Source organism: Homo sapiens, chromosome 2 (genome assembly GCF_000001405.40).
Source record: "Homo sapiens chromosome 2, GRCh38.p14 Primary Assembly".
Taxonomy (NCBI): domain Eukaryota; kingdom Metazoa; phylum Chordata; class Mammalia; order Primates; family Hominidae; genus Homo; species Homo sapiens.
The window spans coordinates 152616402-152634508 of NC_000002.12; the positions used below are offsets into that span (position 1 = coordinate 152616402).

At 42.2% G+C, this 18107-nt stretch overlaps 1 protein-coding gene across 14 annotated transcripts in view, besides 1 other annotated feature; it reads left to right on the forward strand.

The window, feature by feature from the left end:
- The window catches only part of FMNL2 (formin like 2), a 314653-nt gene that overhangs the window by 281228 nt on the left and 15318 nt on the right, over positions 1-18107 (forward strand). For 5 of the 14 annotated variants that reach the window (XM_011510531.2, XM_011510533.4, XM_011510530.2 and 2 more), the window contains 10 exons: positions 690-791; positions 2445-2757; positions 3108-3317; positions 6136-6156; positions 9037-9161; positions 10124-10326; positions 11898-12132; positions 13255-13323; positions 13424-13504; positions 15607-15736. In XM_011510531.2, the coding sequence (XP_011508833.1) occupies positions 690-791; positions 2445-2757; positions 3108-3317; positions 6136-6156; positions 9037-9161; positions 10124-10326; positions 11898-12132; positions 13255-13323; positions 13424-13504; positions 15607-15736 (1489 nt within the window). Of the gene's footprint in view, positions 1-689; positions 792-2444; positions 2758-3107; positions 3318-4560; positions 4691-6135; positions 6157-9036; positions 9162-10123; positions 10327-11897; positions 12133-13254; positions 13324-13423; positions 13505-15606; positions 15737-18107 lie in introns of those variants that run through there. The other 9 variants (XM_005246263.3, XM_005246265.4, NM_052905.4 and 6 more) reach the window with 4 other exon arrangements.
- Positions 1816-3015: an enhancer, noted in NCBI's record as "BRD4-independent group 4 enhancer chr2:153474731-153475930 (GRCh37/hg19 assembly coordinates)". NCBI's record gives its function as "activates an origin of replication core promoter dependent on BRD2, P300/CBP, MED14 and CDK7 cofactors, and independent of BRD4, by STARR-seq in HCT116 cells {active_cell/tissue: HCT116}" and the evidence as "EXISTENCE:reporter gene assay evidence [ECO:0000049][PMID:35650434]".

The following is an 18107-nucleotide window of genomic DNA, read 5'->3' on the forward strand; positions in this document are numbered from 1 at the left end:
TTCACTGCAACCTCTGCCTCCTGGGTTCAAGTGATTCTCCTGCCTCAGCCTCCCTGGTAGCTGGGATTACAGGTGTACTCCACCACACCTGGCTAATTTTTGTATTTTTTAGTAGAGATGGGGTTTCACCATGTTGGCCAGGCTGGTCTCAAACTCCTGACCTCAGGTGATCCGCCCACCTTGGCCTCCCAAAGTGCTGGGATTACAGGCGTGGCAACCAACTTTTATTACTTGCATAGTTTGGTCAAACCAAGCAGTAGTTGTTTTTCAACTGGCTACCTAGATTGAAAGAACCAAGTTTACTGTGTTACCAATTTTCAAAAGCTTTAGGCTGATGGCCCTTTCTTGGCATGGAGTGGGGGATGGAGGTGGACTTTCCCTCCTCTTTCTCCTTACTTTCCTCTACCCTTGCTAGCCCCTGCAGAAATGGAGGGAGGCACACTGTGTATGTTGAACACTAAGGAGCAGACATGTGGGTCTTATTAAGAATCATGTCTAAGTTATCAATTCCTGGTAGAAGCAAATATGTATTCAGAACCATATTATAAACATTACCATTTCCAGAAAACAACTTGCGGAACACATGCAGGGCCCTGGTCCCTAATAATCTTGGAGCTGCACTTTCTGAGAACTGAGGGCTGATCAAGATGATCCTGTATTGTGACAGCTTTCTTTTCAAAATTTTACAGTTATCTGAAAAACTGCAAGACACAGAGAATGAAGCCATGTCCAAGATTGTGGAACTGGAAAAGCAACTCATGCAGAGGAACAAGGAGCTGGATGTCGTTCGGGTAAGTGTAATGATGACAACTGCCCAGATGGGCACGGTAGGGAATGTACTCCAGCTTTCGTCCAGTGGAACGCAGAGTACCTTCATTTCAGAGGAATGCATTGATGCAGCATATTTATTGGAAACCTTTGAGAGGTGATGCTCAGTTGAAAACTACACATAGTCGGCGTTATGTATACACATGTGTGTGCAATCAGATACTGGGGGTTCAGTATTTCCTTATCACAGATTTTGGGAGCAACAGTGTTTTCCCATCTGGAGGAGGCTGAGTTAATTCTGTGGAACACCCATTTGGTTGGAAATAAAAACACAGCATGGATTTAATTCATGCCACTTATTTATTTTTATTAGGACTTGAGCTTCTTTGTATTTTTTTGCTTTGCTTCCACTCAAAACCAGATTTGGTGGTTGCTGTGTAAACAGTGAAATACAACACAGGCTAGGCTTAATGGCATTCACCAAAAAAAGGGAGGGGATGTGCAAAGCAAACCCAATCCATTTTATTATCAGCTAATCCCAGCTATTTTATTTGGCCTTAGTATTGTTTACCTTATGTGCCAGGTATTTATGGAGTGCCATCCCTGTGCTTGGAATTGTGCTGAACATAAGAACACCAAAATGCCTGGAGAGCTTTAAGGCAAATGGCTTGCCTTTACACCACTGCTAATGAAATTGCACCTTTTATGTGATGGTTATCGTGTCTGTGTGTGTCTGATATCCTGACATGTCCTACAGTTCAGTCCAGGAAATATATTTTCTGGCACGCCTTCGAGACAGAGTTGTAGCATATGGACTCAATTCAACTTCAGACTCTTAGATTATTAGTAATAGACAGGGTGTGAAGAATGTTTCCCTGCTTGCTGGAGGTTTGTGGTGAGAGATCGCTTGTACAAGGCCCAGCAAGGAAGTTCAGTTCCATAAAACCCTTTCACTAGAACCTCTATGGGCCCCCCCCTTATAAAAGGAACCAGGACAGTCTTTGAATTGAAAATTGTAACTTCTTTGTTTTCTGCTAAAAAGCTAGACAGAAATAAGTAATTAGTGAAGGGAAGCTTTGGCCTGTTTTGTTAACCGCATTACCGATGGGAAAATGTTACAACAATCGCTATCCTGAGCTTGGTCAAGGGGGCGTTGTGAGGGCCAGAGAAAGCCATTCAGAAACAGTCAGCCCCTGGTTACTCATGAGTAGATTATTCCATGCTTTGCAGATTTTTAATCCCAGTCTGATTTGTATCCAAGTCTGATTTAGGGCCCTTTTGTCTATTGTTAGCTGATATGTGTATCTAAGAGTTACAAATGAATGTTAAAATAAAAGGAAGGAAAACATGCACCACCAGAACACCCTCAGGAGATTCCAGAGTCAGCATTCCGGGTCATTTCTGCTCTGTTTCTTTCCACCTGCAGGGAAAATTGAGTTAGCTGCATTTATTAAATGGAAAGAACTTCATTACCAACAACAATAGCTAGAATATATTACATGCATTACTAGCATACAACTAATAATTAATGGGACTTTATAGGTTCTAGCTGAATTCCAAAGAATTCCCATTCATATGAGTATCTTTTTTTCTCTTTATCCTCAGTTTGCCAATCTGATGCTACTAAGTATGAATGTTATGTGAAGATAAACTCTTGACCTTGGACTTTATTGCAGGAAATCTACAAAGATGCAAATACTCAAGTTCACACATTAAGAAAAATGGTCAAAGAAAAAGAAGAAGCAATTCAAAGACAGTCTACCCTGGAAAAAAAGATTCATGAGCTAGAGAAACAAGGGACCATTAAAATTCAGAAGAAAGGGGATGGGGATATCGCCATACTGCCAGTTGTGGCTTCTGGCACATTGTCCATGGGGTCAGAAGTGGTAGCAGGTAACTCTGTGGGACCCACAATGGGGGCCGCTTCCTCAGGACCCTTGCCCCCTCCTCCACCACCACTGCCTCCCTCATCAGACACACCTGAAACAGGTAAGAAGCCTTGGCAGGAGGACTGAGGAAGTTTTGGAATATTTGTATTTCTTCTTTTGCCAACTGTCCACTTCTGTCCTTTGTCCGTTTTTGTTGGCATGTTCTTTAAGAATTGGTTTTCTTGAGTAGTTCTTAACTGTTTACATTTTGAGATTAAATTTATAAATCCTCATTTCACATATGTTGAAATATTTTTCCCACATGTCAATGAGGACATTTTTTGGTTTTTGAAAACAGTCCTTTGTCCTTTTAAGTGTGTTGTTTTCAGATGGCTTTATATGCACATGGCTTATTGCAGGAAAGCCATTCCCGTATTTTCAAAGTCCATCTGTTTCTTTTTTCTTTGCTAGTGCAAAATGGTCCAGTAACACCACCTATGCCACCGCCGCCGCCGCCCCCTCCTCCACCTCCTCCTCCCCCACCGCCCCCTCCGCCTCCTCCTCTCCCAGGCCCTGCAGCTGAGACTGTACCAGCTCCTCCCTTAGCACCTCCCCTTCCCTCTGCACCTCCGCTGCCTGGAACATCTTCACCCACAGTGGTTTTCAACTCAGGATTAGCAGGTAAGAGCACAGAATTCAAACCCAGGTACTCATATCAGAAATGCTGTCTTATCTCGGAGAGTTGAAGCTATTCTTTCAAAGTCCAGGTCTCTTGCAATGATGTGTATCTCTTCCTAGTATAAGAAATTCCTGCTGATGTAGCCGATAGAGGGAACATCATCACGCATGGGAGGCACTTTGCTCTGAGTAGTCTTTGTCACAACCACACCCCACAATGGGAGGTTCTGATCTCCTACACCATCTTCCTGCCTTCCACTGGCCCCACCGAGAGAATGGAAGAGAGACAAGCTACCTGCTTGAGGATCAGTGCATTTTTGTGGGTTCAGCAGATACTTTCTGGACACCTGTAGTATTCAAAGCTCAGTATTAGGCACAGACATTGAGTGCTTCTGGATCTTTTTTTTTTTAAATGGTATTTTTGATGTCATCTATAAAAGGGAAACATGCTTTTATGTGTAATTGCCTGACGTAGGCTTCCAGGCATGTCTTCTGAGCATTCGAGAACATCAGAATTTGCTAGAGTGGATTTAAACTTCAAGGAGGAAGTGCTGCCAACAGCCGTATTATCATGCCTTAAAATGCTGCCAAATAATTCATGTCCTCTTGCCAACCAGAAGATAGAAAACAGCATCCTCACCTCACCAGAAATAAAATGGGAGGTAGGGGTTAGAGCAGGAGGAAGAGTCACTCTAATGCCTTGAAATCTAAGCTCTTTGTTTTGACTCACGGAAACAAAGATGACGCTACGAGCCGTTTTCTCAGTCCTGAAGTGTTTCCCTGGCATCTGGAATTGCTCTAAGCTTTGCCATCCCTGTGACGTGGGGTAATTCTGCCTCCTCATTTACTTCAGCCTGTTCATGAGGTCTCTTATTTACAATAAAGAACTACCACTCTAATAGCCTCCATTTCCAAGGCTGTGATAGTTCTCAGAGCCTTTTGCCCAAAGTCTAAAAGCCAGTCTTAGCTGTAAAGATTTCCCAATCTCCATCCCTTCCAGGATCCCATCTGCAGCTCTGCCAGCCGGTCACTGGGGCTCATTCATCCCAATGACTGGAGCCCTTTTGGATGCCCCAGAGTCACCTAGAATAAATTCACTCCACATCAAATCCATGGTTTTACTTCCACCCCGACTTCTATATAAAACTGTCAGGGAAACAAGATTCCAGTTCACAGTAAGGTCCACAGTAAATCGGTGACTTATTTCTACCCTTCAAGATCTTCCCCGTCTACCACTTTCTTCTAGAACTTTTATTACTTCTGAAGGAGAAAAGTTGGAGCAGAGTCATCGTGGAACTGATGGACTATGGAATATAAACAGACAAACAAGAAACCTCATATCAAGCCCCGGGAATGTGTTCCATCACCAGGCTGTTGTCAGTAACTGGGTGTGGAAACCCATTATCGTCCCGTGCACCTGGCCACCCTGATTAGGCACTCTTGGTAGCCCCCAAGGCGCACTTGCTGTGAGATGTGTCTGCTGTGGTATCTCATTTGGGGCTGCTTCCTTTGTCTCTGACAAACGCTGATGTGTGATTTAGCACCCACTTCCACGCACCTGAGCACTAACATAGACCTCAGAACCGCCTTAGCCGAGTGAGAGCCCAGAGGCTGAGATGTGTCTAGAGCTTCCTTCCAAGGGGCCATGTCCTGTGTGATTGATCTATTTATTAATTGTTTTGCTTGGGTTCTTCCCACTACTTGATTTTAAAAATGTGTTGGCTCTGTCAATTGCCTCAATATTTTAAGGTGTAGAGCTCTGTGCTTGGCTGATAACCAACTGCTTTTAGGGTTTGCTATACTTGGAAGTGGTCCCTGTTGTGGCTCATGCAATTTAGAGGACTGTAGGTGGGAATACAGGAACTCTTTATTTCCATAAGTGTCCACTAAATGATTGTGAGGGATGTCTTGGAAGCATTATAAGATCCTTGTGAGTCTTTGATAGCTCGAGATCAGGCAATTTCTCCAAGGCCTTTAATCTTTCTTTATTATTCATCCTTATTTAGACTGTTAATTCTTAGTGATTGAAGCCCATTTGGTGAGATGTTTTGCTAGTGTGTTGAGTAACTCTCTCTCTCACTCTGGAACCAAGAGGCCAGACAGAATCAGGATGCCCAGTAGAATGAAGAGACAGAGCTGAGCTAATATTCTGAAGCCTCCTGGGAAGTCAGAAACCTATGACATCACTTGGCCTCTGGACCCACAGGCAACACGAGGGTCTTATCTCTTCAATGGGCAGGTGTGTTCTTGGAGACCAAGACAGAAGACCAAGAGGAGAGCCCCATAGTTTATCTAGTTGAGAGTTTTCTTTGTATTTTATAGAGAAAATAGTAGTAGTGTGAAATATGCATTTGAAGAAGAAGGCTTCCTTCCTCTCAAGTCTGTGATAGAACAACCTGGCTCCCTTTCCCCCGGTAGGTCACCTGAGACAGGCTGCTGAGCAGGTGGAACCTTTGCCGTCTGTCTGGGAGGATGTGCTCGGATCCTCACAATGCGAATTTGGACTTTGGTTGATTGTTTTTCATGTAAAAATTATTCCTATCCTATGGAATGCCTAGCACAGTTCAGTATTGCTGTTTGGTACCACTACGATGAAATAATTTTTTTCTTCCCTCTTCTAAAAAGGATAATTTTAAAAATGAAATAGTTGAGTCTTGGAGGCAGGCCTGAATGGAAATGAATTTTTGGCTCTGTGCCGCCTTGTGAAATGTGTCCAAGAAGCATGAAATTCTATGCTGAGTGCGTGAACTGCTGAGCCACTTGACTCTAACCATATCTAATTTTTTTTGTATTTTCTCTGTTCTTTCTGCTTCCACAAAAGATGGGCCAATCAAGCTTTTCTGTAGGTTGCTCCTCACTGAGTGTGTTGAGTATTTGCCATGTGTTTCTGTTGGTCACACTGTGCCTTGACATCTTTCCACTCCATTTTGCTTTGATCCATTGCATTTTGACTTTGTGTCTGCGGGAAGTCTTGGTGGTGGCTGATGATGATTCCAGGTTTGCCCACACATTCTAGTTGAACCTACATAAGAGACTATTGTCCTTGAAGCAGACATCCTGGATTCATATGCCCTCTTCCATTTCCTCTGAGAAAAGGTTTTTTTTTTTTTTTCTTCTTCTTCTTTTAATTTTTATATTTGTATCTGAGACTTCAACTCTAAGAACAAAAAAAAGGTGCCAGGTGCCCCTTTTCCATTCCCTCCCTCATGCTGGTCTCTGGCCCACTCCAGGGAGCACTCACCCGCCTTTAGCCCGAGCCATGGGGACACAGTGTGTCCAGTGGTCACCTATGTGCTTTCCTCCTCTTCCCACTCCCACCCTGGTTAAAGCCAGGAAAACCTTTCCAAGGAGGAGAACTTTCTTGCCTGTGTTCTGATCTCAGGCTTATTCCTGACCTTGCTAAATAGTTAGAAGGGTGGTTGCAAATGGCAAACTTCTAGCGAGCGTCATGAGCCTACCATGTCTGTGGGAGGAAGGTAGGACGCCATTGGCACCAACCTGTCACCTCAGGTTATGAAAAGACTCCTCTGCGGCCCTTCTGCTGCTCCCCAGATCCCTAACATTGCCGAAGTGCCAGAGGCAATGCTAGGGCAAGTGCTAGAGGAAAGTCTGTTCCTTTGTCCCATCGAGAACATCTGTTTTCCTGGGTAGCGTAGACAAAATGCTGTACGGTGAGGAATCTGACACTGTGGCGTAGTGGGGACAAAGGTGTCATGTTTGGTGGTGGAGAGGCCTGGTTTGGCTAAAGCTGTGTCTGTTTTTCTGCATGCTTTTGTGTGGATTTATCAGATGACATTCCTGCTGTTTAAATGGCCTTTGTAACTCTGGAGGAATGAGAGGCACTGTCTGTCTCAGTTAACGCCAACTGAGGCAGGCAGGCAGGCAGCCAGCTACAAGCTTAGTCGTGTGTTGCTTTTATTTTGTTCTGCACTGAAGCGCTGAAGTTCTCCTCCCTGTCTTGCTAATAATGACAAATAGTGAAGCTCCCAAGTAGTGTGGTAGGCTACCCAGAACAGACTGACGAAGCTGAATGTGTATGGCTAAATGGTTTGGGAAGACTTCTTTATGATATATAATAGATAAATATAATTTTAAATGGATTACCTTTTTTGGCATATTCCCGCACAGTGAGAGGAGTTGGCACTCCCCATAGTCCCTTAAAGATACATCCCATTCTCTCTATTAAGAGGTTTTCAGTATTTTTAATGAGTGTGTAGATACCTCCTAGTCAAACACAGCTGACTCCTGGGAAGAACTTGCTTTTCAAAATGAAGGGCAAGGGACTGTGGCTATTTCTGAGTCTGAGAATCCATACAATTCCTTCCCTTCCCTCCCCTCCCCTCCCCTCCCCTCCCCTCCACTCAATTCCCTTCGCCTCCCCTCCCCTCCCTTCCCTTCCCTTCCTTCCCATCTCAAAAAAGAGGAGTTTCCTCCCTTCCTCCCTTCCTTCCTCTTTTTTGAGATGGAGTTTCGCTCTTGTTACCCAGGCTAGAGTGCTATGGCGTGATCTCGGTGCACTGCAACCTCTGCCTCCCGGGTTCAAGCGATTCTCCTGCCTCAGCCTTCCGAGTAGCTAGGATTATAGGTGCACACCACCACAACTGGCTAATTTGTGTATTTTTAGTAGAGACAGGGTTTCACCATGTTGGCCAGGCTGGTCTTGAACTTCTGACCTCAGGTGATCCACCTGCCTTGGCCTCCCAAAGTGCTAGGACTTTGAGCCACCACGCCCAGCAATTTCTTTTCCTTCCCCCCCGCCCCTTTTATTTATTTATTTTTAAGACAGAGTCTTGGTCTGTATGTACCCCTTTTTTCACTCTGTTGTCTTAAACATTTTCTTAGGCTGGGCAAGATGGCTCACGCCTGTAATCCCAGCACTCTGGGAGGCCGAGTGGGGAAGCTCGCTTGAGTTCAGGAGTTTGAGACCAGCCTGGGCAACATGTGAAACTCTGTCTCTACAATAAATATAAAAATTAGCCAGGCATGGTGGCACACAGCTGTGGTTCCAGCTACTTGGAGGCTGAGGTGGGAGGATTGCCCGAGCCTGGGAGGTCAAGGCTGCAGCGAGCCATGATTGCGGCACTGCACTGCAGCCCGGGTGACAGAGCAAGACCTCAAAACCTATTTTCTCATTTAGGCCATTCATATCCCTTAGTCTGCTTGAAATAACCCAGCAGCCAATATATCTTCATTATCGGAATCACCCACAGGAAGTCAGCCTTCATGACGTTGTACTTCTGGTAGTCTAGTCAGCCACTGTCTGCAGTCCCTGATCATCTTCTAAGGTTTGTTTGTAAACATGTGGTCTGCAACCAAGAATTTAGGATGTCCAAATATGGCAAGTTTTTGCCCTCTCTGCTATCTAGTAACATGAGTAATAATCTTTGCTCTCCAACACTTTTTATTTGTCCCAACCATTGTCCTAATATTGTAACTGTAATGCAGCAAATTAGTTGCCTGAGTTAAAAGAAAAAAAAAAATCAACCCTTGGCCCTTAAGACGTCTTTTAATACAATGATGTGTTAGTCAACCAAATGATGACCTCAAATGGCTCTGGCCAAGGCCATGTGTGTTGTTTTCCAGCTTTAAAAACCTACTTGCGCGCCTCTTGCCAACCTTCCTCCAGTGTCAAAGTGTCATCTGCAAGGACTGTTGTCTGATTGTTCCTGAGGGTCGTAGGCTTTTGGTGGGATCTTAATTCCATTCTCTTTGATGTCTTTAGCTGTGAAAATTAAGAAGCCAATCAAGACGAAGTTCAGAATGCCAGTGTTTAACTGGGTTGCTCTGAAGCCCAATCAGATCAATGGCACAGTCTTCAATGAAATTGATGATGAGCGAATTCTGGAGGTATTTTTCTCATTGGTTAGAAACTAGAGGTGCACTCTGTGCAGCAAAGCCGGCATGGGTGTTCTGTTAACCTGGAAGTGTCAGAGATAAAGTACTAGTGTTTTAAGTCCCCTGATGTAAAGAAGAAACATGTATGTAATATTGGAGAATAACATTTGACACTGTTTTGTAAGGTGGCTCTAAAACTGTTCAAAGAGTTATGTTAAATTGGAATAAATGCTTTTGAGCATCTTTAGTGTATGCCACAGAATATAGATCTGACATAATAATTCCTTCCCTTAATTGAGAGAAAGACATAAAAACTTTTGGACTGCAAGTGAGCTCAATTATCACACTCACTGCCTTATCTGATGGATAATTTTAATCTGTGGCAGCTGTCTGTGCAAGCTAATTATTGAAAAGTAATTGAATTAGTGGGTTAGAATCGGTAGTCTAATGTTCACTTATTTTTTTATTTTATTTTATTTTTAAATTATTATTATTATTATTTTTTGAGACGGAGTCTCACTCTGTCGCCCAGGCTGGAATGCAGTGGCGCAACCTCGGCTCACTGCAACCTCTTCCTCCTAGGTTCAAGCAATTCTCTGGCTTAGCCTCCCAAGTAGCTGAGATTACAGGCACACACTACCATGTCTGGCTATTCTTTGTGTTTTTAGTAGAGAGCGCATTTCATCATGTTGGCCAGGCTGGTCTCAAACTCCTGACCTTAAGTGATCCACCCGCCTTGGCCTCCCAAAGTGCTGGGATTACAGGCATAAGCCACCACATCCGACCTATGTTCACTTTTGTGTATGTGCCAGAAGTTGTACTATAACAAAAACAAGAAAAATAGAGGAAGCCATGGCCAAAGACAAGTACTTAATAGAAAAAGTGACGTTTTTGCTTAAGAAACTAACTGGTGGCTTCCGGACTTCATTTTTAAATATAATCCAATTTTCCATGGTCATTCCTCTCTATCTTAGGATTTAAATGTGGATGAATTTGAGGAAATATTCAAGACAAAAGCCCAAGGACCTGCCATTGATCTTTCTTCAAGCAAACAGAAGATACCACAGAAGGGATCAAACAAAGTGACATTACTAGAAGCAAACAGGGCCAAAAATCTTGCCATAACTTTAAGGAAAGCTGGAAAGACTGCTGATGAAATATGTAAAGCTATTCATGTGTAAGTTCAGGAAAATTATATTCTAGTTAGTTTATGATAAAATGAAAATGAGAAAGTTATGAATTAGTAGATGACAAATATTTCAATAGTGAGACAAGACCTAAGATAAAAGCTGGAGCAATTTTTGATATCCACACTTGAGAGATCTGAACTCTGTGTGTGCTACTTCAAAGTTGAATATGATGCCAACACGAAAGAGGTAGACCAGAAATCACCCTGGGGAGTGTTGTATTAGAACCAGTAACTAATTGTTTTAGAAGAATAACATCTGGATTGTGACATCATTTATTATCTGGGTCTACTCTCTTATGCGGGCCTCCAGCAATGCTTACATAAAAGGAAAGTTGAGCTGAGCGTGGCAGATGTTAAGAAAAGGTAGAAAATGTCAGTTTTCTCTGGAGTATCTGGATTTTATCCAGATTTGTTGAATACAAATTTGATGGCATTTGTGGAATGATACAGTTCAATGCCAGATGCAAATATGATACAGATGCATATTTTAATTCGTAACAACAGGAATGTGAATTGTTTTGCTTTCAGTACTTTCAGGACATTTTAAACAAAGTTCATTTTTTACTCTTGAACTGCATAGAAGGCATTGGTTTTACTCCTCTATTAGAAGAATCCTTCTATTCTTCTTGTGGCCATGGTGACTTTCAAATGTGATGAAGACATTATTAAATGTTTTAGGAACTAATTATTTATAAATTGATTATCTTATACATTTTGGTTAGAGGCTTCGAGGTGTAAATGACCCTAAGAAATCCTTTGTTCCAATTTTGTGTCCTCAACCAGGGTCATAATCTGGTAGTCCAGTGCCTCCTACAGTCTGTTCTGATTTCTGTCATTGAATCCTGAAGTGCAGCCTGGCTTTAAATCTTTATATATCTTGTTTGTCATGATGATTAAATGTAATTCTATTATTTAGCTGAACAAAGATTGTCCAGAGAATAATAGAGAATAGAGACTGTAACAAATACTTCATTTGTTCAAATTAAGCATATATCCAAAAAGAACTTCAAGGAATGTATGCACTTAACCTAAAACATTCAATAATACAGGCATTTGGATGCATTTTTTTCCAAAGAAGAAAAAATACTACCAGACTATTGGTTTAATTGAAATATTTTACATAATTCACCAGATATTCTGTACTAATGTGTACAGTGTTAATCTCCTGAATTAGCTGTACTTCACAATGCCTGTCAACTATGTGCTTGAACCATGAAACCATCAGATGCTTTGGCCTTGGTTCTACCTCTTCCTATTTTCATTTACTCCTGATTCCAGAGGCTTAGAGCTATGCCAGTACCCTAAAAACTGAGGATGGCAGTTGTGACAAGGTCCACGTTTTCAGGAAGAACCAGTTAAGTTACCTGAGGCATAGTCAAGAACCAGCACCAGGGTGGGACTTCACAGGACAGCTGGAGAAATCTTAGACTCGTTGATTTGGTGTTTGATGAGCTGTACCAGATGGATGATGGATGGATGAACCTGAAAAGATGGATGAACTTGAAAAGGGGGTAGGAGGTTTTTCTCTCTAATGCTAATCTCTCCACATCTGTCTTTAGATTTGACTTGAAGACACTGCCTGTGGACTTTGTGGAATGCTTGATGCGGTTCCTACCAACTGAGAATGAAGTGAAAGTGCTTCGGCTCTACGAGCGGGAAAGGAAGCCTCTGGAAAACTTGTCAGATGAAGATCGGTTCATGATGCAGTTTAGTAAAATCGAGAGGCTCATGCAGAAGATGACCATCATGGCCTTCATTGGGAACTTTGCTGAAAGCATTCAGATGCTGACTCCTGTGAGTGGACTGACTCTGGCAGGGGAGGGGGTCCAAAGAAATGTGGAATCGTTATTTTTTAAAGTCTCTCCCAGAATCGTACTCAGTGTGATGGGTTCTAAAGACTCCTTCCCAGAACTTTCTAAATTGCATTTTTATTTCAACCATCTTTTCCACATTATGTATGCAAAGTAAATTTGAAAAATGGGGAATGTTCATATTCCATATTGCCATTCTTCCGAAAGAATGCCATTTTTTGTGTCTACAGATGTTCTCTAGATTTCAAAAGGACAGGGGACAAAGAAACTTGGTTCTTTTCTCAAACTTGGTTCCTCTCTGAAGATACTAGTCTTCTGGCAGTGTTGGCAAGACTGAAAATAAGACTTTCATTTCTAAAAATGTTGCCTCATCTTTAGTGAGCAGACTTACAAGCTTTTGCTGAAAGCTTTATATTTACCATAAGAGTTTTCTTTCTTGGAAGTTTGTTATAATAAACTGTGGTGATATAGACATAATAGCCAACCATCTCTCATTCCCTTGTGTTAATCTGGTGGAGATTTATGAATATCATAAACTTCAGTTCTCTCCCAATTCTGTTTCTAAATAGACTTTGTTACTGATTATAGTAGTCAGTTCTTTCCCAATTCTGTTTCTAGATAAATTTGTTGGTTTCTGCTTATAGTAGTATGTCTGTTGAAAACATGTTCTGAGAACTTCTGGAGGGTGTTATATTCCCCTCCCTTTTTTTTCATTTTTGATGCCTCCTTCATTGATTTAAAAATATTAATTGTATGACATGATTAGAGGTGGTAGGCAGGAAATTGAGTTCTACCAGAAGCAGCTGTGGACTCTTAACTCTGAGTCTTAGTGGTTGTAGATTGGTTACAGATTTTGTGATAAGCAAGTTCCTATGTTACTTGCTATTGTGAACAGTTTCAGTAAAGATCGTGCATGTAACAATATTACCTGAGACCTAGCAAGACAATTAAATTTGTTATACTTAGAAAAAGTAGACTCTCACCATGAAGCCTGTATGCTCTAAATGCAGGCCTGTTTTCTTCTGTCTTAATATTTACTTGCCAATTAGTTTCCCATTTTTAACATGTCTTTTTTCCCCTTTTTCTTTCTTTGATTGGAATCTAGCAACTACATGCGATTATAGCAGCATCTGTCTCTATAAAGTCGTCCCAAAAACTCAAGAAAATTCTGGAGGCAAGTGCAGTTTTTCTTGTAGGTATGAAGGACTACTTCAGCTGCGTTCAGTGCCTGATGTGCTGTACTGATGGGCTTCTGTTTTCACCTTCTTTTGCAGATCATCTTAGCCCTTGGAAACTACATGAATAGCAGTAAAAGAGGAGCAGTTTATGGATTTAAACTTCAGAGTTTAGATCTGGTGAGTGGACTAAAAGAAATTTGAGAGCTGTTTGAAGGACAGATGGCTGGCAGAGATGAAGTTAGGGTGGTGGAGGATGTTTTGATGAATATTTTCTGCTATGGGAGGATCAACTGGTACTAATTTTCTGGAACACCATTTGACAGAGAGCACATAGAACCTATAATTACTCATACCCTTTGACTCAGTATTTCCATTTCTAGGAATTTTTTCTCAAGTGTCTGAATTTTGAATCCTGTATTTTATTTATAATTGCAAATTAACAATCTAAAGGTCTAACTGTGGGAATGATTAAATGTGCTGTAACACTAGTTAATACAGTGAACTATTATTCTTCCACCGTTAGCATACTGATGAAGAGTGTCCCAAGAAAGATTTGTGTTTAGAAAAGAAAGCAGGGTATGCTTTGCATGTACAGTTGAATCTCAGCTAAGTAAACTATGTGGGGAGAAAGACTGAATGGAAATAGGTTAAAATATTAGCAGAGGTTGGATGGAATCAGGAAATTTTTTCAAACTGCTTTTTGTAAGTACTTTTCTATATTTTCTTAAATTTTTGTTGTTGTTGTTGCATGCAGGGTGCTCTAATTTTCAGAGTCACCTAACTAATGTGAATAAGACTAGAGAAAATCCTCCGTGGACTCCCTCCAGACTGTGCAGGCCTAACGTGATTGTCACATGAGAAGGCTGGGCAGTGGGTTGAGTCCCCCGACCAGGGAGCTAGTTATTTAATATGGAGTGTCTAGTCAGTCACAGTTCTGGCCTCCAGCAGATCATGATCAGTTAAGCATGTCTGTTTCAGGTCTTCACAGGCTAGGAAATAAGGGAGGGCCTAAGCTAAATGTAAAAACTGGAGCATAGGAGCCCTGCTGTGTAGGAGGCACCTGCATGCACCTGCTGGCTGTACATCCCCATTTCTCCTCTGGCTTTTTACTTTGAAGAGCACTAAAATTAGAGCCGTCCTGCTTTTAAGGCAAGGAAGGTGGGATAGCAGATGCAGGGCTGGGAGAGTTCATGTAATCAGTGTCCCCCTTATCCATGGGGGCTGTGATCCAAGACCCCCAGTGGATGCCTGAAACCTCAGATAGTACTGAATCCTATATATACACTGTTTTTTTTCTAGAGATGCATATCTGTTATAAAGTTGAATTTATAAATTAGGCACAGTGAGAGATTCACAATAACTAAAAAATAAAATAGGCCAGGCCTGGTGGCTCACACCTGTAATCCCAGCACTTTGGGAGGCTGAGGCGGGAGGATCACCTGAGGTCAGGAGTTTGAGAGCAGCCTGGCCAACATGGCGAAACCCTGTCTCTACTAAAAATAGGAAAATTAGCTGGGCTAATTTTTGGGTCACAGGCACCTGTAATCCCAGCTACTCGGGAGGCTGAGGCAGGAGAATCGCTTGAACGCAGGAGGTGGAGTTTGTAGTGAGCCAAGATTGTGCCACTGCACTCCACCCTGGGCGACAGAACGAGACTCCATCTCAAAAAAAAAAAAAAAAAAAAAAATAGAGCAGTTAAATAAAACACGTTACTTGAACACAAACACTGCAATAGGCGGCAGTTAACCTGATAACCCAGATGGCTACTAAGTGATTAATGGCAGGTAATGATTACAGCGTGGATCCACTTGACAAAGGGGTGATTCTCGGTCTAGGGTGGATGGGAATGGCACGTGCGAGGTTTTATCATGCTGCTCAGAGTGGTGCGCAATTCAAATCTGATGAATTGTTTATTTCTGGAATTTTCCACTTAGTATTTTTGGATACCTGAAACCTGTGGGTTTCCTGAAACCATGGGAAGTAAACCTGTGGGTAAATAGGAACTACTGTAGAGGAAAGCTGCGAATCATTCTTAGGTGCTTAGAGTCATCCCTATAGTTAAGCATGTGCCCTGGTTGGAAAGTCCTTGAGCCAGTTAAGCATCAATGGACTGGTTCACTAAGGAACAAATGGAATCCTGACCCTCCTCTGGGAATGCTCCAGCCTGTTGGGCGACTGTTACTCAGTTAATGACTCTGGGTGGGAAATCGTCACCTGAGGGGTAAGTGTCTTGTTACCCTTTACTCTTGTACCTAACCCACGTTCCCTTTTGTTTTCAGCTCTTAGATACAAAGTCAACAGACAGAAAGCAAACACTGTTGCACTATATATCCAATGTGGTGAAAGAAAAATATCACCAAGTGTCCCTGTTTTATAATGAGCTTCATTATGTGGAAAAAGCTGCTGCAGGTACTTGATTTCAGCTATTACCGTTCGTCTTGGGTATTTAATGCCTTTAATTGTGGTGGAGCCATTCCCTGCTTAAACACTTTTCAGAACCCATTTAAAAAGCCAAGGCTAAGAAGTCAGACACACTGAGCTGGAACACATCGGCCGTGGTGTTGTCCACCCCTGAGAGCAGAAGAGCACATGGGTGTAAAGGTGATCTCTGTGTCCTTTCTGTAAGACACAGGCCACTGAGCGTCATGTCCCTTCCCTCTTTTATTCACTGCCCTTTTTATTCTGCTGCTATTGTATGAAATGTGAGAATGAGAATCTGAGAATCATCACCCAACAAACACTTTTAATTTGATTTTGTGCCATTCTACTTGCTCAAGTGTGGCAGTTGTAAACATTTTGCCTTTGCCTGGACACTAGTTAAATTATTAGCACTTCTTGGTTGCTACTTTGCTAAGACAGTTATACATTTTGTCATTTAAATCATCTGTGACTCTAAGATAGCTGGGATGTACAAGGTAATAGTATCTCCATTATTATAGGTGAGAAAATTGAGATTTTTCGAGGTTAAATGTCTTGCCCAAAGTCACATGAGTAGAAAGTGATAGAAACAGGACTAGAAACCTGGTCTTACTTCTCATGAAGTGTATTATCCAATGTACCATGTTCCCTCAAAAGCATATTCGATTAGCAAAAGGAATGATATGCAGATTGACCTTACAGTCATTTATAGGCTGTGATTCTCAAATTGTGATATCGAACCATAAGCAGCCAGTGTTTATTATAAATTCAGATTCCTGTGGGGTACCTCAGGCATCTGGAATTTTGGAGGGTGAGGCCTTCTCTAACTCAGCCATGGTAAATGGCTGCTGCTTCTGTGTTCTCACTAAAGAACACTCTGGTCTACCCTCTCGTACAAGATTTCTCATACTGTATTACAACAATTTGCATGTCCATTGCAATCTGTGCTCTTCTTTTTTTTTTTTTTTAGACAGGGTCTTGCTCTGTGGCCCATGCTACAGTGCAGTGACATGATCACAGCTCACTGCAGTCCTGACCTCCCAGGCTGAAACGATCCTCCCACCTCAGCCTCCTGAGGAGCTGGGACCACAGGCACACACCACTATGCCCAGCTAATTTTTAAAATTTTTGTAGAGATGGGGTCTCCCTGTGTTGCCTAGGCTGGTCTTGAATTCCTGGGCTCAAGTGATCCTCTCGCCTCAGCCTCCTAAAGTGCTGGGAGTACAGGTGTGAGTTACCATGCCTGGCCAATCTGTGCACTTCTTAAGGGTATATCAGGTTTTATTTATCTTTCTATTTCTCTCAGCCCCTGAAAATTGGATGTTGGAAATAAATGAATGAACAAGTGAACAAATGAATGAATGAGATGATGCACTGTTACAGGGACAAATGCTGCAGAAGCTGTGGTGGAGACTGAGAGGCAGATGGAGATGACTCTCTGACTATGAAGAACTATATGACGCAGGCTGGATAGACCTAGAGCAAGTTCGGGGCTCACTTAGACAGTAGGCAGAATTTCTGTTCTGACCAAATGATTTTCCTCCTTTTAAGTTTCCCTTTGCCTAAATTAATTACACCTCACAATTCTAATTAAGAAAAATGTTAAAAAGCTATTATAATTTCTACCTGACCAATGGGTACTAATTCATTTTGTTTGGTCCAAATGGTGTCATTTGAAAAACATCGGTGGGGAAAATGGGAGACTGGGTTGCTCCCTGGCAGAACTGTTCTTTCTGTTTGCTCTCTGGTGCCCAGGTTGCCCAACACAGATTCTGTATTCCTTCACTCATGTGTTCACTCACTCCTTCATTTATCCAGTGAACACCTTTGAGTGCCCTCCATGTACTTGGCACTATCATAAGTATTAGAGAATCAAGGATGATAAGACAGTGTGAGTCTACTGAGGGAAAAACCTACTGCACTGTTTTAGTAGGTTGGTGCAAAAGCAACTGTGATTTTGGACCGTGAATTATCAATCATTATAACTAGGCTCAAACATCTTTATTATGGCCGGGTGCGGTAGCTCATGTAATCCTAGCACTTTGGGAGGCTGAGGCGGGCGGATCACTTGAGGTCAGGAGTTTGAGACCAGCGTGGCCAACATAGCGAAACCCTGTCTCTACTAAAAATACAAAAATTAGCTGGGCATGGTGGCACATGCCTGTACTCCCAGCTACTTGGGAGGCTGAGGCAGGAGAATTGCTTGAACCCGGGAGGCAGAGGTTGCAGTGAGCTGAGACTGTACCACTTCACTCCAGCCTGGGTGAAAAGAGCGAGACTCCGTCTCAAAAACAAACAAACAAAATACATCTTTAGTAATCAAAACAGGAACCATTAAGATCAACACATTTTTGCCAATGAG